The 26,223-nt window shown below is 43.7% G+C and overlaps 1 protein-coding gene across 4 annotated transcripts, besides 1 other annotated feature; it reads right to left on the bottom strand.

Moving 5' to 3' along the window:
* Positions 1-206: 206 nt before the first annotated feature.
* Positions 207-26,223, bottom strand: MYOCOS (myocilin opposite strand). Of its 4 annotated transcripts, XM_047442427.1 has the most exons (4): positions 25,891-26,223; positions 12,090-12,297; positions 3,117-3,254; positions 207-641 (listed from the first exon to the last, which is right to left on the bottom strand). In XM_047442427.1, exons 3-4 carry the CDS (start codon positions 3,209-3,211, stop codon positions 494-496), a joined length of 243 nt encoding a protein of 80 aa, XP_047298383.1. In that variant the 5' UTR covers positions 3,212-3,254; positions 12,090-12,297; positions 25,891-26,223; the 3' UTR covers positions 207-493. The 4 variants fall into 4 exon arrangements, with proteins under 4 accessions (XP_047298383.1, XP_047298419.1, NP_001355093.1 ...); XM_047442463.1 differs by lacking the exon at positions 25,891-26,223 and having other exon boundaries at positions 12,090-12,298; NM_001368164.1 differs by lacking the exons at positions 12,090-12,297; positions 25,891-26,223 and adding an exon at positions 7,058-7,332.
* Positions 5,660-5,860: a silencer, noted in NCBI's record as "peak453 fragment used in MPRA reporter construct". NCBI's record gives its function as "represses an SCP1 promoter by STARR-seq MPRAs in K562 erythroleukemia cells {active_cell/tissue: K562}" and the evidence as "EXISTENCE:reporter gene assay evidence [ECO:0000049][PMID:32103011]".

Below are 26,223 nucleotides of genomic sequence, written 5' to 3'. Positions count from 1 at the left end.
TCAATAAATGTGAAACTCAACCACCTTAGCCCCAGCACACGGCATGGGAATGCAGCTCCAAAATATAGGGCCACACAACTGTAGTGTCTCAGGTTGCGTTTTGAAAATCCAGCTACCTCAGGGTTCCCAGGACCTGAGATCTTTAAACTCTAGACTTTAAAAGGCCTAGACTTTTCACTGATTCAGATTTAGTAATAAACAACAAGGCCTGATAACTGTTTATTAATTTAAATACAACTGACTACAGCAACAGTTCTATAGCATAACATAAAGATCAAAATATATGCATATCATATCAGAGACTTGGATTAAAAAACCAAAAATGACTAAGTCTATTAGCAAGGGTAAACCATGCTCTATGGTGGTTCTAGGTGAAGAAAAATAGGAAAGAACAAAGATCTTCAAGAGTCTTCTAAGACAAACCTCAAGAATGCCACTGAAACTGTTTTCTGGAGTTCTGTGTAAGAATTCACTTCAAAATAAGTTTTACATCTTAGGAGACCGTGGGATCCTCAGCTGGAGAAGGAGGTGGGGCAGGAGGTACTGTGAGGTAGGTCCTGTGAGGGGGAGGGGCTTGCTCCAAATCCAAGTGGGAGAGCATCTCCTTAGCTTCATCACTTTTCTGGGTAATTATCTCTTTTCTAGGAAGAAAGGCACATTGAATGCCATTTGAATAAAGATAGGGTTTTAAATAAACAGAGGAAAAGGAAACAGACTGGGCATGGTGGTTCATGCCTGTAATCCCAGCACTTTGGGAGGCTGAGGTGGAAGGATCACTTGAGCCCAGGAGTTCAAGACCAGCCTGGACAACATAGGGAGACCCCCTTTCCACAAGAAAATAAAAATTAGCCAGGCATGGTAGCATGCACCTGTGGTCCCAGCTACTTGGGAGGCCAAGGTGGGAGGATCACTTGAGCCTGGGAGATCGAGGCTACAGTGAGCTATGATTGCACCACTGCACGCTAGCTTGGGTGACAGAGTGAGACCCTGTCTCAAAACAACAAAAAAGAAGGAACAAAAGAAATACCCCAGATGCCAGCATCTAAAAAGAATAGTTAACATTTCAGAGGACATCTTTCCAAGCTCCTCCACCCATACTCACCTTGCAGAAATGAGATATACTTTAATTGTCAGTCAGCTCTCCTCAGAGTGAGCTCAGCTGTCCCCGTTGGTGCCATGGACCCAACAGAGTTAGAGTCTGCACCCTCACTCCTCCATCCCCATCCTCCAAGGGTATCTTAGGATTAGAGCAGTAGTTCTTCCCATCAATTAGCTTTCTCCATCCCCTACTGGCCAGCTCTCTGTACATTTCAGCCTGGGACAGGCTGTGTCTAAACGTTTCATTTGCATTCCAGCTATTCACAGGGCCAGTCCAGCCTCAGTTTCACTTCACAGCTCCCTTTGGCCTAACTTGCCCCCATCCCCAGGCTGTGGGGTTCGCCTCCCCTTCTGCTGGAGTATACCAGAGTCTCCCCATCCTCCTCAGGGCTGGGCAAACCTTGCCTTCAAGGGCATAGGACTAGCCTGTCAAGCTTTTACAGGTTCAGATTTAATTGTTCCCTGAACATTTACTATGTTCCAGGGACTAGAAATTACCTAGAAACTAACCACATGTAGAATCTCAGCCCCCACATTAAATCTTTCAGCTGAGCAAGCTGAGACAGAAGGTGATTACCCAGATCATGTGACCAGTAGAAGGCAGAACTGGAATCCAAATTTAAATTTCAATCTGGCCACAAGTTCACTGCTCCCATCTCCCAATCAAAGCTGATCCCTAATGTTGCTGAGAGGATGTGGGATGATGGGAAGGGAATTGTTTGGTGGCTAGGACAGGCCACAGAATTATGCCATCTCGTCCTTGGATGGACATTAGAGCACAGGGACCACACTTCCTGCAGACAATGCCCACTCTCACGGTCTAAACCCGTGGTATCAAATTGGCTGTGCACCACTATCAACAAAGATTTGACATTCCCATATATGGTAACTAAGAAATGGCACCTAATTCCTATCAATTTGCTGGAATCTTACATCCCAATAAACTCTAAGGTCAAAGGGCATTGTAAACAACATTAGATGGAAGTCTGTATTTTCTATTTCAAATCAATAATTTTGATTTTTTTGACCAACTTCTTATCAGATTTAGTAAGATTATTATTTTTAATCTCATAACATACCCGACAAAGAGCTCAAGCTAGAGGTGTCATCTTGGGCCAGGCACAGTGGCTCTCATCTGTAATCCCAGCACCTTGGGATGCTGAGGCAGGTGGACCACTTGAGCCCAGGAGTTTGAGACCAGCCTGGGCAACATGGCAAAACCCTGTTTCTATTAAAAATACAAAAAAACTGGCCGGGCACAGTCGCTCACGCCTGTAATCCCAGCACTTTGGGAGGCCGAGGCGGGCAGATCACAAGGTCAGGAGATTTAGACCATCCTGTGAATGGTGAAACCCCGTCTCTACTAAAAAAAAACACACACACACACAAAATATTAGCCGGGCGTCGTGGCGGGCGCCTGTGGTCCCAGCTACTCAGAAGGCTGAGGTGGGAGAATGCCGTGAACCCGGGAGGCGGAGCTTGCAGTGAGCCAAGATTGCTCCAGCCTGGGCGACAGAGAGAGACTCCGTCTCAATATAATAATAATAATAATAATAATAATTAACCAGACGTGGTGGCACATGGCTGTAGTCCCAGCTACTTGGGAGGCTGAGGTGGGAGGATTGCTTAAGCCCCAGGAGCTTGAGGCTGAGGCTACAGTGAGCTGTGATTGCACCACTGAACTCCAGCCCAGGTGACAGAGCGAGACCCTGTCTCAAAAAAACAAAACCAAACCAAACAAAGTGATCCCCACTCCCCACTCTCTATCAAGAGCCACGACCACCCACGCAGTGAACATACACAAATGGGTGTCATCACCCCTTGAAGGGCCATGTGGGAAAAGTCTGTTTTCCACAATGGATGACAAAGCAGTTTCCTTTTCTGTGAAATGTGTCTTGCAGCAGCATTAAATACATTTAAATAAACCAGTGCCAGCTACAGTTTCAGGCACTTGCTGGGGCTCAGTGTTATGCTCCGTCCCAACCCCACAAGCGATCCAGAGGAAAGATTTTGGGTACCTTGTGATCATGGTGACTCGGCGCCTGGTTACCTCGGAGGTCAAGTCCTTGTAGGGGAGATTAATGCTGTTGTTTGCAAGGCTTTTCTGAGCCATGGCCTTGCACTCAGGGGATTTGAGGAATTTAAAGTTACTGCACCTGTGAATGCAAAACACAAGAGCTGGCACACATGCTTCAGGGGTCAGGAATGCTCCAGCTAGGTCCAGAATGGCGCAGTTTGCAGAGAACATTCACTGCCTTACTCTCAGTTGGTCCTCCCTACAGCCTGGCCTTCATCCCCCTTCCCCCCAAGGTCAAGAGGCAGATATTTCCTCAAATACCTATTATGAGGAGTGGGCGGCTAAGAGTAAAGTACTTGTTGGTTGTTTATATAGAACAAATGTGATTATTCCAATCATGCAGTGGGCAGCTATCATTACCCCCAGATAACACTGAGGGAATGGAGGCACAGATAGGTGAACTGAATCTCCCCAGGTTGCACGGCAGCCCTGTCTCATGCTGGTTCCTCTCTAATGGCGCCATTCCAGAGGAGCCCTTTTCTCACAGGGCTGTTTGACCTCACTGACATGTGCAAAGCTTTCTTCCTGGAACACTTACCCCTTAAAGAACAGGAAAGGGACATAAATAAGGCTGCAGCTGGGAGCCATGCTACTTGTCCAGATATGCACATGGCATAGAGACTGGAGGGTTGATTTTGATAACAGAGATAGCGGCCACCCATTTACTGCCGGTCACCTTGGGATGTCCTTTTACTTTGTTGCCCCCCACCCCCTTTTCTTTTTGAAACAGGGTCTGGCTCTGTCACCAAGGCTGGAGTGTAGCAGAGCTGTCTCGGTTCACTGCAGTCTCAGCCTCCCAAGTAGCTGAGACTACAGGTGCATGCCACCATGCCCAGCTAATTTTTGTATTTTTTGTAGAGATGGGGTTTCACCATGTTGCTCAGGTTGGTCTCAAACTCATGAGCTCAAGAAATCTGCCCTCCTTGGCCTTCCAAAGTGCTGGGATTGCAGGCATGAGCCACCATGCCTGGCCCTTTTGCTTCATCTTATTTGATAACCACCGTAAACCCACATGGTAAGTATTATGATCCTCATTCAACGAATGGGGAAACTGAGCAGTAGAGAAATTAGGTAGCTTTTCAGGAGTCACAGAGCTAGAATTTGAAGCTAGGTCTGTTTGACTTCAAAGACTATATTATCTCCATTACAGAGCCAAGTCATCTCCCAAGAAACAGAAGAGGAATTAGAGTAATTCCCATTCCTAGACACCAGGTCACACTCACGTGGTGACTGCCATTCTAGAGCATGAGTTGCAACAGCCAGAGCTCGCCAGCTTGATCTTTTGGCTGGAAAGGTTTGTTCTTATAAGGATGCCCAACTGACTTACCTTTTAGTCCCAGGTCAGCTTAGCATATAACTGCTTTTACGCACCAACTCATGGATTTGCTAAGAAATATCCTTATGACATACTCTGTACCCACATACCAGCTACTTCATCTCTTTGAAAAGAGAAAAGGCGAAAAAAGGACCACCAACGTCAACTTCCTCCCCTTTAGTCTTTTAACCTCCTGTAGTCAGTCTCTCTCAGGAACTTGGGTTAATAAGATTGATTTGCGCCCTTAGAAAGCAGCAGCTGAAACAAATTACCCCTGGAGCCGTGTCCTTGAGAAATCTCCACAGATGTCGCAGGGAGAGGATGGGTCTTGGGGGCAGAGCAGGGGAAGAGCTTTCTGTCATGTGAGCAATGGGGAAGCGCTATCTCAGATGCTAGTAAACACATTGTGACCTAGTCTCTTTATTGACTACTTTTTAAAAAGCTAATTCACGTACGCCCCTCCTCCCAGTGCCATCAATAATCACTGATCCCACCTCTTCCTGATAATTCACAGCACTTCTTCTATGCTGGCAGGTGTTTCAGCTCTGAAATTAAAGGAGTTGATTGTGCAACTCCCACTTTTGATCTGAGTGATCTCGGGCAAGTAATTTAACCTCTAGAAGCCTTGGTTTTCTTACTTGTAAAAGAGGAGTAATAGTATCTTCTAGGGCAGTTGTGAGGGTTGAGAAAATGTTTGCAAACAATCCTTAATTTTGCCTTTCTTGCATTTTTTTAATTTTTAAAATGTATTATTACTATTGTAATTATTGAGACAGGGTCTCACTCTGTCACCCAGGCTGAAGTGCAGTGGTGAGATCATAGCTCACTGCTGCCTTGAACTCCTGGCCTCAAGTGATCCTCCCACCAGGCTGAGGCCAGGAATTCAAGGCGGCAGTCTATTTCTTTACATGATAATAAAACCACAACAGAGGCCAGGCGCGGTGGCTCATGCCTGCAATCCCAACACTTTAGGAGGCCGAGGCGGGCGGATCACGAGGTCAGGAGATTGAGACCATCCTGGCTAACACGGCGAAACCCCGTCTCTACTAAAAATACAAAAAATTAGCCAGGCGTGGTGGCGGGTGCCTGTAGTCCCAGCTACTCAGGAGGCTGAGGCAGGAGAATGGCGTGAACCCGGGAGGCGGAGCTTGCAGTGAGCCGAGATCGCGCCACTGCACTCTAGCCTGGTTGACAGAGTGAGACTACGTCTCAAAAAAAAAAAAAAAAAAACCCACCATAGAAGAAATTTGCTGCTTGGGAAGATAAGGTGTAATGAAGCTGGGATTAAAAACAAGGTCTACACAAGGTCTATATATACGTAGATAAATACAGCTATTTCCCTTTGTCAACGAAAACAGTCAAACTCTGTAAAATATTTGAAGAGATTCTGAACCAAATATGAGTGACCATGACCTGTGACAAAGCCCTCAGGAGGTCCTGAGAACACGTGCCCAAGTTGGTCGGGGTGCAGCTTGGTTTTATACATTTTAGAGAGGCATGAGACATCAGTCAAATACATTTAAGAAATACATTGGTAGGCCGGGCACGGTGGCTCGTGCCTGTAATCCCAGCACTTTGGGAGGCCGAGGCGGGCAGATCACGAGGTCAGGAGATCGAGACCATCCTGGCCAACAAGGTGAAACCCCGTCTCTACTAAAAATACAAAAATTAGCCCGGCGTGGTGGCACTCGCCTGTAATCCCAGCTACTCGGGAGGCTGAGGCAGGAGAATCGCTTGAACCCGGGAGTCAGAGGTTGCAGTGAGCCAAGATCGCCACTGCACTCCAGCTTGGCAACAGAACGAGACTCCGTCTCAAAAAAAAAAAAAAAAAGAAAGAAAAAGAAAGAAATACATTGGTTTGCCCAGAAAGACAGGACAACTCAAAGTGCAGTGGAGGGGGAGCTTCCAGGCTACAGGTGAATTTAAAATTTTTCTTTTTTACAATTGGTTGAGTTTTCTAAGGACCTGGGATTGATGGAAAGGGAATGTTCAGGTTAAGATAAAAGATGGTGGAGGCCAAAGTTCTTTCAAAGTCTTATAGTGGCTGCCCTTAGAGACAATAGATGACAAATGTTTCCTATTCAGATCTCAGTTAATCTCTTTAGGATTGGGAGGGTCTGGAAGAAAAATATCTAGCTATGTTAATTGAGATTCTTTACAGATGCAAATTTGCCCCCAAAAAGAACAGCTTTGCATGACCATTTCAAAATATGGCAAAGAAACATGTTTTGGGGTAAAATATTTTGATTTTCTTTCTTGTCTCATAATATTATGCCAGAGTCAGGTTGGAGAGTAAGTCACGATTAATGTTAAATAAAACCCATCTGATGAGAATTTATGATTTGTAGGACACGATGCCCCAGACACCTTAGATAGGAATTTGGGCAGCATAAAAATCAGAGTTCAGTCCTCACCTTCATATAATGGAATGAAGGTAAGCCCTGTCCTCCTGTATTAGGGTTCTCTAGAGAGACAGAACTAATAGGAGATATATATATATATATTTTATATATAGGTTATATATATATATATATATGTAAAGGGGAGTTTATTAAATATTAACTCACATGATCACAAGGTCCCACAGGCTGTCTGCAAGCTGAGGAGTAAGAAATGCCAGTCTGAATCCCAAAACTGAAGAACTTGGAGTCTGATGTTGGAGGGGCTTCTTACATATTTTGAATATGTCAGAAGCAATTATTGTATGCAAATTTCAGAAGATATACAGCCACTGTAATGATTTCTTTTCCTTTTCTTTTCTTTTTTTTTTTTTTGAGATGGAGTCTTGCTCTGTTGCCTAGGCTGGAATGCAGCGGTGTCGGCTCACTGCAATCTCCACCTCCCGGGTTCAAATGATTATGTGCCTCAGCCTCCTGAGTAGCTGGGACCACAGGTGCCTGCCACATTTTTGTATTTTTAGTAGAGATGGGGTTCAACCATATTGGCCAGGCTGGTCTTGAACTCCTGACCTTAAGTGATCTGTCCATCTTAGCTTCCCAAAATGTTGGGATTACAAGCATGAACCACTGTGCTCGGCCTTGATTTATTTAAATAATCTGTTTTGTGTGTGTTTGTTTGTTGCTGTTTTAGTTCAATGGCTTTTGAAACAAAATCTGAGCTTTAGCCAGGAACCCTCAGGGAGTCTGTTGTAGTTCAGATACGTCGAAAGTGATTGACAACAGTACAATCCAGGAAAAATCACTATTTCCCACACTAGCCATCCTTTAGGATGTGTCATGCTTAGCTGAAACATGTTCCTGAATCCTGACCTCTAAACATGAAGCTTACATTTCATACAAGGAGAAGTCCTAGTAATAAAGCAGTTGAACAATAAAAGAGTCTATTTCTTTACATTGATGATAATGAAACCACAATAGAAGAAATTCGCTATTTGGGAGGATAAGATGTAATGAGCTATGATTCAAAACAAGGTCTGCTTGATACCAAAGTCCATACATTTAACAACCACATTTTCCACTCACCAAATACATATATGGGTAAAATAAAGGAAGAAAATGCATACTTTAGAAGCAATAGAAAAATATCCAACTACAAGATGTCGTTACTAATTTTAAAACAAATTGGGGGCACCAAAAGCTCTCTTAGATTCTTACTTGAAAAATAGTTTGAAATTATCTCAAACGATAGGGGCTGGTTGTGAGGATACTCATGTCAAAAGATACTCATGTCAAAAAAGGGGGATACTCATGGCAAAAAAGGAGATAGTGAGTCCAGACATGGTGGTTCATGCCTGTAATCTCCGAACTTTGAGAGGCCAAGGCGGGCAGATCACCCAAGGTCAGGAGTTTGAGACCAGCCTGGCCAACATGGTGAAACCCCGTCTCTACTAAAAATACAAAAATTATCTGGGCGTGGTGGCCCACACCTGTAATCCCAGCTACTCGGGAGGCAGAGACAGGAGAATTGCTTGAACCCAGGAGGCGGAGGTTGCAGTGAGCTGAGATCATGCCACTGCACTCCAGCCTGGGTGACAGAGCAAGACACCATCTCAAAAAACAAACAAACAAACAAACAAACAAACAAAAAGGAGATAGTGATCCTCTTGAAAGAATAGGATGGGTGACCCTCATGGGCCTTACAGGAAGAATTGAACTGGAACCCCAAAGGCACATGTAGGAACTAGATTACCTTGTCATCCCCACAACAGCAAAGCTATTGCACTAGCTCGCTATCACGAATGTGACTCGGTTATTCTCAGTCTCTGCAAAATGTCTAAGGCCAATATAATTTTTTCTAGACATATATGCATATATGAGATAAAGGAGAGTCAGCACTAAGGTGGGGTTATGAGTCCATCAAGTGTACTATCAGCTCCCTTGACCAGCTCTTGAGTCTCTGAACTTGGTTGGTTGAGTGCCAACCCAGGTGACATTCACTTCTCTACCCACTCAGCACCTGCACCTGTGCAGCTGTATGTGGCTAATGGAAAACATACAACCCTGATAGCCAGTCTTCCTTTAAATTCATGACTGCAGCTGTAAGTGTGTGCTCATCCTAGGCCTAGATACCTTCTCTTCTGTCCTCAAACCTCCAACACATCTTCCCAATTCTCATTCTTAGCTGAGGACAATGGAAGCAATCATAAGAGAATTCCACATTCACCACACCTACCCACCTTCCAGCCTTTGTGCCCGTGTTCTCTGTCTCCTCTCACCTTACTCTAGATGAACTATTGGCACTCTTTTCAGGGGCCAACCCTTCCACTCCAGCACTAGATTCCATTCCCTCTCATCTACTCGAGGTCTTCGTTTGAACAATTCTCCCGTCTCTTTATTATCAAATTATCCCTCTCTGTTCGATCTTTCTCATCAGTGAACAAACATGTTATTTCTCCCATCTTAAAACCTTCTCTTGTTCCCACTTTTCCCCACCACAAAACAAAGACACAAAAATTGCTTGTGAAAGATTTGTCTATATTCACTGCCTCCAATTCCTTTCCTTCAATTCTCTGTCAAATCCACTTTAAAAAACATGTCTCGTATCACTCAGTCACCAAACTGGCTATCAAGGTTGTATGTTTTCTACCAGTTAGTTGAAACAGGAAATAACTCACTCCTCCTTGAAGCATTGTCTTCATTGATTTCCAGGTCACCACCCTCTCGCTTGGTCCAAAGTCACTGGCAACTCTTTCTCAGACCCCTCTGCTTGTTTCCTCTTATTTTCCTATACTCATAACAGCAGAGCATCCAAGCCTCAGCCCTTGAATCTCTTCTATTCTCTACACTCATTTCCCTGTTAATTGCATCTAGTCTCATCACTTAATCGCGTGTCAGGTTCATAACTACACCACTTATCATGCTCAGGGTCAGGTTCCAGTCCATGCTGAGGTCTGAAGGGAGTGGGTGGATGAGCAGCAAGAACACTTGGGAGGCTATAGGCAGGTGAAAGATGATTTTATTCAGCAGCAGCTCTCATCAAGAACTTTCTCACACTGTCTGCCCTGTCTCAGCTGCTTAGTCCAGTGGCTCCCACACAGCTGTGTGGCCAGCTCTCCCCTGCCTCAGGGTCAGCAGCTTAACTCTTTCTCTCTCTGGGCACAAGCTGAGCCATGCTGTGCCCTGGCTTCCTGCTGTCTGTCTGCAAAATGGACAGCTTTGGTTCTCTTTCTCTAGGTGCCAGCATGCCTGTACAGTGTCAGCAGGGCAATTATACCTTTTACAGACAACAGTGGCTTAGAACCAAATGATGAACCTTCCCATGTTATGGCTACATGGCTGTGATAACAAGTGGAGTTATATGCCTGTGCTCTAAACTCACTGAGTCGCTCTGGATGTTTACCTCAGCCTATCCTTGACCAAAGCACAGCCATGTTCCTTACAATGCCATCTATAGGATATGACATTCATCAATCTGTCTCTCCAGCCCAGATCTCTCTCCTGAACTCAACCAATATATCAGCTGCTGACTTGACACCTCAATATAAACAATAAACATGTAAACTCGACATGTCCAAGACTGAACTCCTGATCACCTCCTTCAAACCTGTTCCAGCAGCTGTCTCCCTCATCTCTGTTTTGTTGTTGTTGTTGTTATTTATTTATTTGAGACAGAGTCTCACTCTGTCACCCAGGCTGGAGTGCAATGGCATGGTCTCGGCTCACTACAACCCCTGCCTCCCTGGGTTCAAGTGATTCTCCTGCCTCAGCCTCCCCAGTAGCTGGGATTACAGGTGTGCACCACCACACTGGGCTAATTTTTGTATTTTTAATAGAGACAGAGTTTTGCCATGTTGGCCAGGCTGGTCTCAAACTCCTGACCTCATGTGATCCACCTGTCTTGGCTTCCCAAAGTGCTGAGATTACAGGCGTGAGCCACTGCGCCCAGCCCTTTGTTTTTTTGTTTGTTTGTTTGTTTGTTTTTTGTTTTGAGATGGAGTTTCGCTCTTGTCACCCAGGCTGGAGTGCAGTGGCACGATCTTGGCTCACTGCAACCTCTGCCTCTGGGGTTCAAGCGATTCTCCTGCTTCAGCTTCACAAGTAGCTGGGATTACAAGCATGTGCCACCATGCCTGGCAAATTTTTGTATTTTTAGTAGAGACAGGTTTCACCACGTTGGCCAGGCTGGTCTTGAACTCCTGACCTCAAGTGATCCACCTGCCTCGGCCTCCCAAAGCCCTGGGATTACAGGCATGAGCTACTGTGCCTGGCCCCTCATTTCTGTTAATGGCAACCCCATCCTTTTGTAGCAGGACGAGCCACAGACAAAACCTCTCAGACACTGAGTTGTAGAAGGAAGGGCTTTATTCAGCTGGGAGCATCGGCAAGCTACTGCCTTAAAATCCGAGCTCCCCGAATGCACAACTTCTGTCCCTTTTAAGGGCTCACATCACTAAAGATTTCACATGAAAAGGTCGTGATTGATTTGAGCAAGCAGGCGGTACGTGACAGGGGCTGCATGCACCGGTGGTCAGAGAGAAACAGAACAGGGCAGGGAGTTTCACAATGTTCTTCTATACAATGTCTAGAATCTATGAATAACATCGGTTTCTAAGTTATGAGTTGATTTTTAACTACTGGGTTTAGGCCAGGCAGGCCCAGGCCTGGTTTCAGGCCTGGCACCGGGCTGCCTGTCTTTGATTTTACTTCCTTGTTGTTTTTTCTTAAAACAGGTACTGAGTATAAAACAATATGAGAGGGACTCTCTCTTCCCTCACTTTCAGCAGCACAAGCGCCAAATCTAGAAGTCATCTTTGTCTTATCTCTTTCACTCTCTCTCAAACTAACATTCAATCCATCAGCAGTGGATTTTCAGCTCTACTCTTCAGTTATACTTAGAATCCAGCCACTTCTTATCACCTCCACTGTTACCATCCTGGTCCAACTCACCGTTATCTTTGGCATAGATTAAGCCTATCTGGTCCCCTGCTTTCATCCTGGTCACTCTTTCAATCTATCTGCAACACGCAGCCAGAGCACTCTTTTAAAAACATGTCATGTTACCACTCTGCTCCAAACTCGCCATGGCTTTTTATTTCACAGAGTAAAAGCCAAAAACCTTACAATGGCCTTCAAGGTCTGATACAATCTGCCTTCTTCCCCCCACCCTGATTTCTTTGATCTGTCAGCTCCTACTACTCACCTTTTTCTCAGCTGGTTTCAACCATCTGGCCTCCTTACTGTTCCTTGAACACCCAGAGATATTCTCCCTTCAGGTCAGGTCTTTGCATTTGCTCAGACCTCTGCCTGGAATATGCTTTTCCCAAATATCTTGATATCTTGTTCCCTTTCTTCCTTCAAGTCTTTGCTCAGTGTTGTCTGCACAGCGAGGCCTTCCTTGACTACTCCGTCTAAAATGTAGAAAAAAAGCACAAATTTTTGTCTACCACGTTCACTGCCGTATCTCAACACCTAAAATAATGCATGTTGCAGTGGATGCTATGGTGCTCCCATCCACATCCCCTTTCCAGCTGAGGCAGTTGTTCCCCCACTGCTGGGAGTGTTGGTGGTGATGACTCTCAGCTGAGTGCCTCTCCAGGCATTGCTCTCAGCTGAAGAGAGTTGCCTTAGCCACGTTTCTGCCCCTCTCCTAAGAGATAAAGGCTAGCCTGCAACAAATGACTTGCCCACAACTGGGGATATGAAGGCTCAGCCCCCTTGCTTCAACTTGGGATGACTCTAAAGGTTCATCCCCAGCTGCAGAGGTGCCAGTAGGGTCAGCTGAGGCCTTTATTGTGACTGTGCCACAGTTCAACTGATCCCTCTGCCCAAACCTACTTACTTAATTCTCCCACAGATATTGATGCAGAGGGCACTCCCTCAATGAACTTTCTGCACATAAATCTTGATTTCAGTGTCTTTTCCCAGTATTCTGTTAGAAACTTGACCTAACACCATTTGTATCAGTAGGGGATAGAGGAATTAAACTCTAAAAAGACTTTTGGCACTGGATTACCAGGCAATGTGGACCTCATAACTGGCAGTAATGGAACATTAATATCCCTTGGCAAACTGTAATGGCACAATTGTTAAATTTTTGCCTGGTGTTGAATTGGGAGGGGATACTGTTGGAAGGGAATAAATTGGCAGGTGCATTATCTCAAGATTTTGAGAGATTCAGGGGAACTACTAATTATAAGGACAATGCCTCTTCCTGGGTGCTATTGATGAATTTGAGAAAGAAGATGAAAGACTGGACTGCCAATCAGCCATTGCAGGTGAAGTGATAAAGTCAGAGGCCTCTTTGGCAGCATATAAAGAGGCTTTCATTTCCCACAGCCAAAGGGCAGTAAAAGCTGAGGATAAGGCTGAGGATTTAGGTGTGGTGGCTCACACCTCTAATCCTAGCACTTTGGGAGGATTGCTTGAGCTCAGGAGTTCAAGACCAACCGGGGCAACATAGTGAGACCCTATAGCTACAAAAAATTAAAAAGTTAGCCAGGTGTGATGGCATGTGCCTGCAGTCCCAGCTACTCAGGAAGCTGAGGTGGGAGGATCACTTGAGCCCAGGAGTTCAAGGTTGCAGCAAGCTATGATCACGCCACTGCACTCCAACCTGGGTGACAGAGCAAGACCCTGTCTTGCCAAAAACAAAAAAAAAATGCATCACAGAGAATGTTGAATTCTCAGTCCCAGCAAGCCAAGAGAAAGTGAGATCCTGAGACTGAAATGAAGTCTTTAATGGGCTAACATACTTGGAAACCTCAAAACCCAGATCCTCCTGAACCCTCCAGGCCTGCAGAAATGGTTTGGTCCTCTCTGTTGGAGACTAGAACTCAACTTGGCTTGAAGATGCTGCAGAGGCTTCTACCTTGTAAGGCAACACATGTTTTCCTTGGGACCTCCCTTTGTGCAACCAGATGAATATCTAGGGTCACCATCCCTTGTTCAGTTTCTGGACTCAGAACCCACTGAGTAAAAGATAAATCGGGTCCTCAGGAGGAAGGATCTTATAATACCATGGCAAGTGTATAGTAATGATTTCCCACAGAGATCTAGGGACATTTAGTCAAGGAACCATACACTGGAGACAGAGGAATATCCACACATTTTGAAGATTGTGGAATACAACATTCAAGATGACACTGGTATTCAAAGTGTAAACATGGACCCTCCATCAGAGTTAAAGACACATGAAGGCTAGAAATAAATAGAGTGAGTTCTGGCCCAGCTCTAACTCACAGTGAGCCCACTTGGTCCATGTCCTACCAAGTGGTCATTTCCTTGCTCTTTGAATGTATAATTGGAATGGACATATTTGGAAATTGATAGTACTCCCACAATAGGTTTTTTGTTGTTGTTTTGTTTTGTTTTTTTTGAGATGGAGTTTCACTCTTGTCGCCCAGGTTGGAGTGCAATGGCACGATATTGGCTCACTGCAACCTCCGCCTCCCAGGTTCAAGCAATTCTCCTGCCTCAGCCTCCCAAGTAGCTGGGATTACAGGCATGCGCCACCACGGCCGGCTAATTTTTTTTTGTATTTTTAGTAGAGATGGTGTTTCACCGTGTTGGTCAGGCTGGTCTCGAACTCCTGACCTCAAGTGATCCACCCACCTCGGCCTCCCAAAGTGCTGGGATTATAGGCATGAGCCACCATGCCTGGACACACATTAGTTTTTGATCTGAGGTAGGAATTATTGTAGTGGGAAATGCTAAGTTACTAAGTGAAAGTCTTTCTGCTTCCCCCCAAGTCAATGTAGTAAAAAAAATGTCATGTGATGGGTAGGAATAACCCTGATTGGTGACACCCTTAGAAACCTAGAGGGTACAGGCCAGGCGCAGTGGCTCACACCTGTAATCCCAGCACTTTGGGAGTCCTAGGCAGTTGGATCATCTGAGGTCAGGAGTTCGAGACCAGCCGGGCCAACATGATGAAACCCCGTCTCTACTAAAAATACAAAAATTAGCCAGGCATGGTGGCAGATGCCTGTAACCCCAGCTACTCAGGGGGCTGTGAGGCAGGAGAATCGCTTGAATCTGGGAGACAGAGGTTGCAGTGAGCCGAGATTGCACCACTGCACTGCACTCCAGCCTGGGCTATAGAACGAGACTCCATCTCAAAGAAAAGAAAAGAAAAGAAAAGAAACCTAAAGGGTACAGGGCCAGCAGTTCTCATAATATCCCTGTTGAATTTATTTCTCTGGCCCCTACAAAAACCAGTCTGAAGACTACCATGAATTCAACCAAGTTGTAGCTGTAATTGTAATTGCTGAGACAGAAGTAATATATTTGTTAGGGTAGATTAATGTCAGTTTACCCATCAGTCAGATTTTTTTTTAGGGATCCAGAGGTCTGGGGCATGATTTTCCATCCCCTGCAAATTAAAGGACAAAATATTGCACCTTGTACCTCCCACCACTAAGAAAGAAGCACAATGCCTGGTAGGCCTCTTTGGATGCTGAGGTAGCATATTCCATACTTAGGAATACTGCTGCAACCCATATACTGACTAACATGAAAGTCTGCTGACTTTGAGCAGATATTAGAGCAGGAAAGGACCCTGCAGGTCCAGGCAGTGGGGCAAGTGGCCCCACAGCCACTTGGTTGATACTAAGCAGAAGACCTTCTGGTAAGAGGTATTGGTGACTCACAAAGATGTTTTGTGGCAAGCTCCAATAGGAGAATTACAATGTAAGTTCATCTGCAATGAAGTTTTACACAAAGTTCCTGGGAGGTGACCAAATGAGTAATAGAACTACTTGAAATAGCCCATTTCGAGTAGTTCTATTAGATCCTGAAAGTCATGAGTTTGAGCAGGCCCAGCAGCAATCTACAAGATGGAAGTGGTACGTTGAGAATTGTGCACAAGTAGGGCCTAAGGGAACAAGCAGGTAGCCCAGACCCCCATATTATTCACTAATATTGCACCAGCACCTCTCCCTGAATTTATCCCTATGTTTGTCCAAGGAGTCTCTTATAGTCAGCTTAAAGAGAAAAAAAGAAAACCCTCAAGTTTGGTTTTGTCAATTCAGTAGGTAAGTGCAAGCAGGAATTGCAAAACTGCTGCTCTGCAGCTCTTCTCAGGGTGGCCCTAAATGATAGCAGCAAGGGAAATTGGTCCCAGTGGGCAGTTTCAGGCAATGCATTTGATCATCTACTTTGTGTGGAAAGAGAAGTGGCCCAAGAGAAGAATACATACAAACTCATGAATGATGGTAAATGGCTTGGATGATTGGTCAGAGGCTTCTAAGGAAAACAACTGGAAAACCACCCAACCACTGGATGACTAGAATTGACATGTATTGTATATAAAATAGGGCAAGACCTAAACTAGCACCACTATCAGAGGGCTTAAAGTGTTTGTTTTACCTTCATGGGATCCTGCATAATATCTCATTAGACCAAGGTACCCACATTACATCAAAGGTGATTTGGCAGTGAGTGAATGCTATGGTTTGAATGTGTCCCCACAGAATTCATGCATTGGAAATGTAATCCCTAATGCAACAGTGTTGAGAGGTAGGGACTTTAAGAGGTGATTAAGAGGTGAATGGATCAATGTCATTGTTGCAGAAATGGGTTACTTATCGCAAGAGTGGGCTTGTTACACAAGCAGCTCTCTCTCTCTCTCTCTTCCTCTTTCTCATGCTCACTTGTCCTTCTGCCATGTTATGACTCAGCAAGAAAGCCCTCTTCAAATGCTGGCACCATGCTCCTGGACTTCCCAGCCTCCGGAACTCTAAATAAAGTTTTCTTTATAAATTATCCAGTCTGTGGTATTCTGCCTTAGCAACATAAAACAGACTAAGACAGATACTAAGCATGGGTATCTAGTGGTATTATCACACTCTGTAACATCTAGAAGCTGCCAGTCTGATAGCATAATGGAATGACCTTTGAAGATACAATTGAGGTACCAACTTGGAGATGATACCCTGCAAACATGGTGGGACAGGCAGCCTCTAAGATGAGACTCAATGATCCCTGACTCCTGTTATTCACATCTTTGTGTAATCTCTGCTCCTTGAGTGTGAACTTATTGACTGACTTATAATAAACAGAATATGGTAGAAGTGATAGGCTGTCCCTTCTAACACTAAATTATAAGACTTGTTTTAGATGCTTTCTTTTTCACTGTCTTTTGGCTTGCTTGCTTGCTTGGAAGCCAGATGTCATAACGTGAGGCATCCCTGTGGAGAGACCCATGTGAAGGGGGGCTGAGGCCTACTAACAACCATGTGAGTGATCTTGGAAAATAATTTTCTCTCATTTGAGCCTTACAATGCGACTGCAGTCTTGGTCAAACAACCTGACAGCAAATTCATGAAAGATCTTGAGCCACAGGGATCTAGTTAAGCTGCACCTGCATTCCTGACCCATAGGAACTGTGCAATAACAAATACTTGTTGGCCGGGTGCAGTGGCTCATGCCTATAATCCCAGCACTTTGGGAGGCTGAGGAGGGAGGATCACTTGAGGCCAAGAGTTGGAGACCAGACTGGGCAACATTGATATACCCTGTGTCTACAAACAAACACAGACACAAAAAAGAAAGAAATACATGCTGTCTTAAGCTACTAAGTTTTGGGGTAATATGCTACACAGCAATAGATAATAATAGGTTGCCCTTCATGGAACTAAGTGTGGAAATAAGTGTCTCACCATCATTCCCAGTGACCCACTTGGGGGATTTGTGTTTCTCATCCTTGCCAACTCTGAGACCTGGATGTTTAGAGGTTCCCATTTGCAGGAGGGGAATACATCCACCAGAGACACAGGAAGAGACCCATTCACCTTTACACTATAGCTTCCACCTAGTCACTTTGAGCTTATCTTGTCAAGAGACCAGTAGTTAAGGAAAGAAGTTATACAGCAGGGATACTTGACTCTAGTCTCAAGGAGGAGATAGGGCCAAGGAAGAATACATTTGGCTCCCAGGTTATTTGTGATGGATCTTTTAGTACATGCTTGTCCAGTTTTGACAGTAAATAAACAAGTGTAGCTTCCAGTCATAGAAAGGCAAAGTGACCAAGGGCTTAGACCCTCTCAGATATTAGGGCCTGTGTAAGCCATCAAGGGCAGTAGAGGTGCTAGCTGAGGGTGAGGGAAATCTAGAATGGGTAGGAGAGGAGGACATCAGCTGTGGCTGAGACCAGCTGTAATGGCAGGGTGTATACTTAACCCACTAATCTTCTTCAGGTTTCCCAGGAAGAGACCAATCCTAATCTGGAGGAGATATTTCCAGAGCTTATCACTGAGCAGTGAAAGGTGAACTATAGTGGAGGCTATGTGCACCACCTAGATCCTCTTCTGGACTCAGGGACTCATTTCCCCAGCTGCTGGGAGTGTAGGCTCTGGTTCTGAGCACAATCCTTTCTGGGAATTGCCCTCGGCAGAGAATGCCTCATCCAAGATCATGCATTCCCTTCCTACATCCCCATCCTTGGGCAATAACTGGACAATGTGAGGGTATAAAAGTCTGGTTCCCTAGCCGGGCGTGGTGGCTCACGCCTGTAATCCCAGCCCTTTGGGAGGCCGAGGCGGGCAGATCATGAGGTCAGGAGATCGAGACCATCCTGGCTAACACGGTGAAACCCCATCTCTACTAAAAATACAAAAACAAAACTAGTGAGGCATGGTAGCAGGTGCCTGTAGTCCCAGCTACTCGGGAGGCTGAGGCTGGAGAATGGTGTGAACTCGGGAGGCGGAGCTTGCAGGGAGCCGAGATCGCGCCACTGCACTCCAGCCTGGGCAACACAGCAAGGCTCCATCTCAAAAAAAAAAAAAAAAAAAAAAAAAAAGTCTGGTTCCCTGGACTCAAGGCCAGATAATTTTAAAGGAGCATCTTATTTCCAGAACTTATCACAAGATTTACTAAGGCATTTTTTTGCATTAGCATCTCAGGTGAACGTCTCCCTCTGCCAATCCAATTTTATACTCCACTATGGTTTGATCTCAAGGGCAGGCCTAATAAACTTTCTGTGCACATCTCTTTTGCAGTGTATCCTGTAAGCCCTGACTGATATGGTTTGGCCGTGTCCCCACCCAAATCTCATCTTGAATTGTATCTCCCATAATTCCCACTTGTTGTGGGAGGGACCCGGTGGGAGATAATTGAATCATAAGGGCAGTTTCCCCCATACTGCTGTCGTGGTAGCGAATAAGTCTCATGAGATCTGACGATTTTATAAGGGGTTTCCCCTTTCACTTGGCTCTCATTTCTCTCTTGTCTGATGCCATGTAAGATGTGCCTTTTGCCTTCTGCCATGATTGTGAGGCTTCCCCGGCCACATGGAACTGCGAGTCCAATAAACCTCTTTGTCTTTATAAATTACCCAGTCTTGGGTATGTCTTTATTAGCAGCATGAGAATAGACTTGTGAACACAGACTGCACTGTTTTCTGTACACCCTGGCCAAAGATAAATATGGAATTGCTGAACAAACAAATAAATGATTACAATTTGGAGTTGAGGAATATCATGCTGCCTTAACCCATATGGACAGAAGGGCCTAAGAACTACCAGAGACCTACAGGTATTGGAATGGCAGGGAAAAATCCAGAGCTCACTTTGGGCACATGCCAACATCTTAGAATGAGAATAGAAATCATAGAATAAGAAAGGATGTCAATGGTCTTAAGCATCGTTTTTTTTAGAGAACCACATTTTAGAAGTTCAGTCTTCCATGGTACCTTAATACACAGATGAAAATGGTGAGAGGGCTTACATTTATTTACCAACTTGGGTTTTCTCATACCTTGAGACACCTCTGAGGACTCTAGGACCTCTCAGCATAATTTGAAGTGGGAGAGAGAAACAATGGCCTAAATTTTGTATTTACAGAAGTTATTTCACTCTGGAAAAATCCAGCTTTCTGATAAGTACAGATGCTGGTTTAGACTTAGATGTGTATATTTAACAAGGCAATTAAGTAATCATCTTATTGTAACCTACTAACCTACCAAACAACAAGCATTGTATATTTCTAAAAAACCCTTTATTTCATTTAATCAAAACTCTGCAAGGAAGATAGAATCATCTCCATTTTAGAGGTGGAAAAACAGACATATGAAGGTTGGATGATTTTTGCTTGCTTTTTTTTTTTTTTTTTTTTTTGAGACAGAGTCTCACTCTCTTGCCCAGGCTGGAGTGCAGTGGTGTGATCTCTGCTCAGTGCAACCTCTGCCTCCCAGGTTCAAGAAATTCTCCTGCCTCAGCCTCCCAAGTAGCTGGGATTACAGGCACCTGCCACCACACCCAGCTTATTTTTTTGTATTTTTAGTAGAGATGGGGTTTCACCCTCTTGGTCAGGCTGGTCTTAGACTCCAGACCTCGTGATCCACCCGCCTTCGCCTCCCAAAATGCTGAGATTACAGGCATGAGCTGTAGCAGGACAAGCCGCAGAGAAAACCTCTGAGACACCGAGTTGTAGAAAGAAGGGCTTTATTCAGCTGGGAGCATTGGCAAGCTACTGCCTTAAAATCTGAGCTCCTCGAGTGCACAATTTCTGTCCTTTTTAAGGGCTTACAACTCTGAAGATTTCACATGAAAGGGTCGTGATTGATTGAGCAATCTAGGGGATAAGTGACAGGGGTTTCGTGCACTGGTAGTCAGAATGAAACAGAACAGAGCAGGGAGTTCCACAATGTTCTTTTATACAATGCCTGAAATCTGTGGGTAACATCGGATTCTAAGTCAGGAGTTGATTTTTAACTACTGGGTTTAGGCCAGGCAGGCCAGGCCTGGGGCCTGGTGCCGGGCTGCCTGTCTTTGGTTTTACTTCCTTGTTGTTTTTTCTTTTTTTCTTAAAACAGGTACTGAGTATAAAACAATATGAGAAGGTTTCTCTCTTCCCTCATTTCCTCCTTTTGAGACTCTTACTTTTTATTAGTGGGAGTTCTCACTTTTATTTTTGCTACTTATGTCTTTTTGTGCAATAGTTTGATAGTGATTTATATAGTACACTTGTGCTGAAGCATTTTGGTGAACTAAGGTAGCGATGAAGCTTTTTTATCATTTAAAGAAGTACAGGTAGCCAACAAGGGAGCAGTAAGCAGGTTTCTATTACTATTATAACTCCTATTATAAGAGTTTTAAATCCTCTTAGTGCTGGGAAATACCTTTTAAACATGGCTTCAGGGTCGAATCCGTGCTACACTTTTACGGGCACATGTGTCAGTTTTGTCATATTTTTAACTATGTCTTTAACTACTTGCCTTTGATTATTTATGTTTAGACAACAATTAGTAAGGTTAAATTCAGCTGCTAGCAAGTAGTCAAGAGCTGGTCTATTTTGATAGATAGCATTTCTCTTCAGAGTCTCTTGCCGGGCAAGAACAGTCAAGGCTTGACCGGTTTTATTAGTAATAATTTTTAAAACAGCTTGTAACCGTATGATTCGGTTGAGCATGTAGATGGGGGTTCGATATCCTTATGAGCCATCTTGTGCCTAAGTGGCAGGCTTATAGTATTGTATAATTTTTTTTTTTAAGGAGGTCATTCGTCATCTTTTCAATTACTTATGGCTATGCTTCGTTTTCCGCGGGAAGCATAGACTGGGAAGCCTAGAAGTTCACCTGATTTATGGGCAGTAAGAAGAAAGATGGCTTAATGGTGCAATTACGCAGCTACCTGTCCACTGATCAGGCAGCTTAGCAGAAGCTCTGTGTCTATATATCCAATATAACCTGGTGGGGGCCGTCCAGTCCTGGTGGGATTCTGGGTGGGCCTAAACAGTCTGCAACTTTGGAAATTTACTGAATGGATCTCTTTCTGTGTAACTGGAACTTTATCATGTAACTGTTTTTTTTTTTTTGTGTGTGTGTGTGTGTGTGTGGTACTATTAATATGGTTTTTGTCTTAGGCAACTAAGTCATCCTACAGAATGAGTGAATTCTTTCCTTTTTCTAGCTATGTAATATTGTCTAATAATTGAGACTTTTAGAACCTAGAAATGATCAGGGTGATTCTTTTGGGCCGGGAATTCATCAGGAACTGGGTCTGTAGGCACTAATTCTCGGGCTTCTTATGCCATTGATCTCTTACTACAGTTTCTCCACAAACGTAACATGAAGTGACATTTAGAGACTGGGCTACATGCTCGGCTAATTGCAAAAAAAAAAAATTTAGTTTTTCCTGGAATCTCAGGTACTGGCACATTTAGTTCATCACAGAAAGTCTGAAATACTGGTTCTGGAGAGCATCTTTGAACTTCCTTTTTTATTAGGATGTTTATGCTAGGATCTAGTCCTTTTTCATCAATGCCTAATGATACGTATTTTTCTTTATTTCATTTTGGGTCTGAGGGGTTTGTGATTACTAATTCTAAAGGGTTGCAGCTTCCACTCGTGCAGGAGGGGCTGCCTTTTCCTTTTTGGAGCTAAACAGGATCTTTTTTATCTTCTTTTTAAGTAGCCTAAATGACACAAGACTAGTATTGACACATCTTACATAAATATGATTCTTGACAGATGTACTTATTTTCTGCTGTGTAACTTTGTTTCTAATCTAGAGAACCGCATCCTATCCTATGCTGTTTATTATTAATAGTGGCACAGGCGTCAAATTTTAAGGTTACATTTTTGGGGACCTTTCTTTCTTCTGTTCTAGCTATTACTTTACTTGTGTCACTTACAGAATGACCAGTTCTTAGTCTTACTTCAAAGACTGTGATCATGGGAGGTTCAAAGGAGTCATAGCACACATCGGGCTGGTCACTTCCTGGATTATATACTTTGTACTGGGTGTCATTATACAAACAGGTTTCCTTTGGAGTTCCTAGGCATTTATAATAACTATAAAATAATAGGACTGTAGCAATCTTTTGTCTTACCTCAGTGACTTGATGTATATACTGGGAACAGCCCTCAGTCTGAGGAAGGTCAGTTGAAGTCCTTACTGTACAAGTCTAAATTTTAAGGAAAATGAGTCCTGTGATGAGTTTCCTCACGCTTCGGCCGTGCATGGACTAGTCACCTTCCGGGTGTGACTGGAGCAGGGCTTGTCACCTTCTTCAGAGTCACTTTGCAGGGGTTGGCGAAGCTGCTCCTATCCACGTACAGCTCCTAGTCTACTGATGTTAAACAGTGGTCTCGGAGGTTGGGCCTACTAGAATAAACTAAGTCTAACACCTCTACTCAGTTTATGTTTAACTGGTCTCTCTGATTCCAGGAGTAAGATGGCGGGGTTAGGGTGTTGCAAACTTCAGTGGTTATGCGGGGATTTTCACAGAGCAAGCTTTGGTATCTAGTTAGTCTAGCATTCATTAGCTAATGGTGTCCTTTGGTATTTATTAAAGTCACCACAGCATGGGGGGACTTTATGTTTAGGTTTTGTCTAAGAGTTAGCTTATCTGCTTCTTGTGCTAACAGGGCTGTTGCTACCAGGGCCATTGGACATGGGGGCCAGCCTTTGGAAACGCTGTCTAGTTGTTTTGAGAGATAGGCCACTGGCCTTGGCCAGGGCCTTACAGTCTGGGTTAAAACTCCAACTGCCATTTTTTCTCTTTTTGACACATAGAGTGTAAAGAGTTTTTTCAGGTCAGGTAGCCTCATGGCGGGGGCCGACATGAGTTTTTCTTTTTAACTCATGAAAAGCTCATTGCTGTTGGTTGTAATAGATGTAGTTTATCTAATTTACATTTTTATTGACTGTCATCTACTAAAATATTGACTTAAATCCTGTAACTATTTGATTTCAAGCTTTAAATTGATCTGTATTTCTTGTGGGGCTCCAATTGCATCTAAATAGATGTGAGAGTTGAAAGACCTATAAGGGCTTCTCTCACTTTACGATGTCTTATTTTTTGTTTTTCCTCTGGTTGATGAAATGCCAGGGTGAAAGGGATAGCCAAGTGGACTAAAGCACAAGTGCCACTCTAGTTATGCGGCAGAGTGCCCAGTAAAGGTCCACCAGAATACCACCACACATTTGCTCGGGGAGGAACAAGGGCTGACTGGTTGAAAATTCTTAAGCTCACTGCATCCCTTCAGGTCTCTAAGGAATGCTAATAAGTCTCCTCCCTGCCATGAGAGACACGAAGTGAACTTAGTGTTGGGAGACGGAAGCTGGATGGCCTTTGGGGGCTGACCTGCAGGGACTTCGGGATATAGCAGAGAGAGCTTGGCATGACTTATTACTCTAGGCTGTAGAATCCTGGAAAAGAGCTACCATGCAGCCCACGCCTGGTGGACTGGAGGACCACCTTAGTGGAAGGGGGACAATCGGGGCCTCTGGCCTGCCATGTGCACAAGCATAACAATTGCTTTTTATAACGTGCAGATGGAATATTTGATCTATTTCAACCAGGCATTTGCATCTTGGTATGCCGTCTTAATTGCCAAAGTTTGTTTTAAGTCTTTAACTTCTATGATCCTCTAGTAAAATGAATGTTTCTTTTAGCATCTATTTTTTATTAGTTTTTAGACCAAAGAAAGTTAAACACTATTTTATATTTAATAATGCTTCTTGTATGATTTTTATACCACGTAAGTTAAATTTTACTTTTATATTAGGGTGTTATTAATGTTAAACTTAATTTTAATAAAACCTTGTAGACATATTTATCTAATTTTTTATGTTTGACCATAAGGTAAGATTTTATAGACTCTTTTTAACTTTTTATAATTTTTGTTAAAGAGCAGGTTGATGCTTTAAGAAAAACCTGTTGCATTTTTACTTTAATGTCTAGTTCACAGAAAAATTGGATGATACCTTTTTAACTTTAGCTAATATGTTTACACACAGAATTTTCTTTACAATTAACGTTTTAAAACTTTTAAAACAATATTTTTTTAACCTTTTAATGTAGGTAAAAATCCACGTTTTTATGCCCCTTTATAATCTTTTTACTAAAGGTACATTTTACTTTTCTTATACACTTTGCACATAAACTGTTTTTTTAAACAGTACTCAGGAGGCCTTATTACTTTTAAATTATACAACATTTTTTGCATAATTTTTTATAACATTTTTTCTTTCACGACTTTCGCACACAATTTTTCAACATGTCTCAACTTTCTGACTTATTACAAAGATTTTTTTCTTTAAACAAGCAGTTAATTTATTTCAGGACAAGAATTTACCATATAACACTCTTTACATAAATTCTGCCTCCCCCCTTTTTTTTCTCTTTATTTTTTGAAGATAACTATTCCTTTTTTTTTTTTAAAGCAAACTTTCTTTATGTCTTTGGACTAGACTGTCTAAGGCTACAAGATTAGAAGTTACCATAATACATGTTACACTGTTAACTTTTAGCAAACTTCACTTTGTTGAAAACCTTGTAAGTTTGGGATTTCAATTATCTTTTGCTATTAATAAGACCTTGTTTAGTCTAAATTAACTTAGAATTGGTATAGATGGTCTCTTTTTCTCTCTGCTGGTCTTTCCTTGCCTCTGCCAGCCGCTTATGCTGCTGTTCTCTTAACTACTGTGGGGAGGAAGGGGGTCTAAAACCAGCTGTAACTGTCTATGTACGGAAATTGGTCTGGGTGCCTTGGCTTACAGGTTAACTTGTGTCATACTTTTGAAACAAAGGACCTGTCTAGGCTTCCTTCTGATGGCCAACCCACCTCTAATGCTGGCCAGTCTATGTCACACAAAGTCCTAAGTTTTCCTGGAGTCATAGTGACTCCATAGTCTCCCTAAAATCTTTTCTTGAAATTCTTTAACATAGTTCCCAGTGGGGTGGGCTTACTTTGCACCTGACCTATTTTTTTTTTTTTTGAGACAAAATACCACGCTCACACTACACACACTCACCACAAGACAAAGAACGGGTAAAGAGGGCACACCCACACTTTTACTGTTTATACCAAACCAAAATCACGAAATTCAAAATCCGTGTACCAAAAAATTCAAGCCAAGTCAAAACTAAAACCAAAGTGTCCAGCAATTCAAGTCAAGTCAAAACCAGAACAAAAGTGCCAATGCAGGCACACCCTGGGTGATCAGGCCACGCTTCCACTCAGATGGAGTGGGGCAAGTTCTAAAGACTAGTCTTACTAAATTTCAGATGTCTGGACTCCAAGTGCCAGTTCCTTCCTGGTGTTCAGCCACTGTGTTAATCCTCCGCAGGGGCCTGCTACGCACTGCTCTGGCGAGGCGTTCCACCGGGGCAATTCTCTACCTGGGATCGCTCTTCGGATGGCTTCACTCAGGCTGGCTGGAGTCCCCTGCAGGGATGCTCCACACAGCAGGCCTAAGCCGCCTAAGGGGCTGCCTCGGGTAGCCCCTTAACTACCCAGGTTTTGTCTGCCTCGTTTCCCGGTCAGGGAACCAAGAAATGTAGCATGACCAGCCGGAGACAAAACCTCTCAGACACCAAGTTGTAGAAGG

This window comes from Homo sapiens, chromosome 1 (genome assembly GCF_000001405.40).
Source record: "Homo sapiens chromosome 1, GRCh38.p14 Primary Assembly".
Classification (NCBI taxonomy): domain Eukaryota; kingdom Metazoa; phylum Chordata; class Mammalia; order Primates; family Hominidae; genus Homo; species Homo sapiens.
This window is presented reverse-complemented; position numbering and strand designations above follow the sequence as displayed.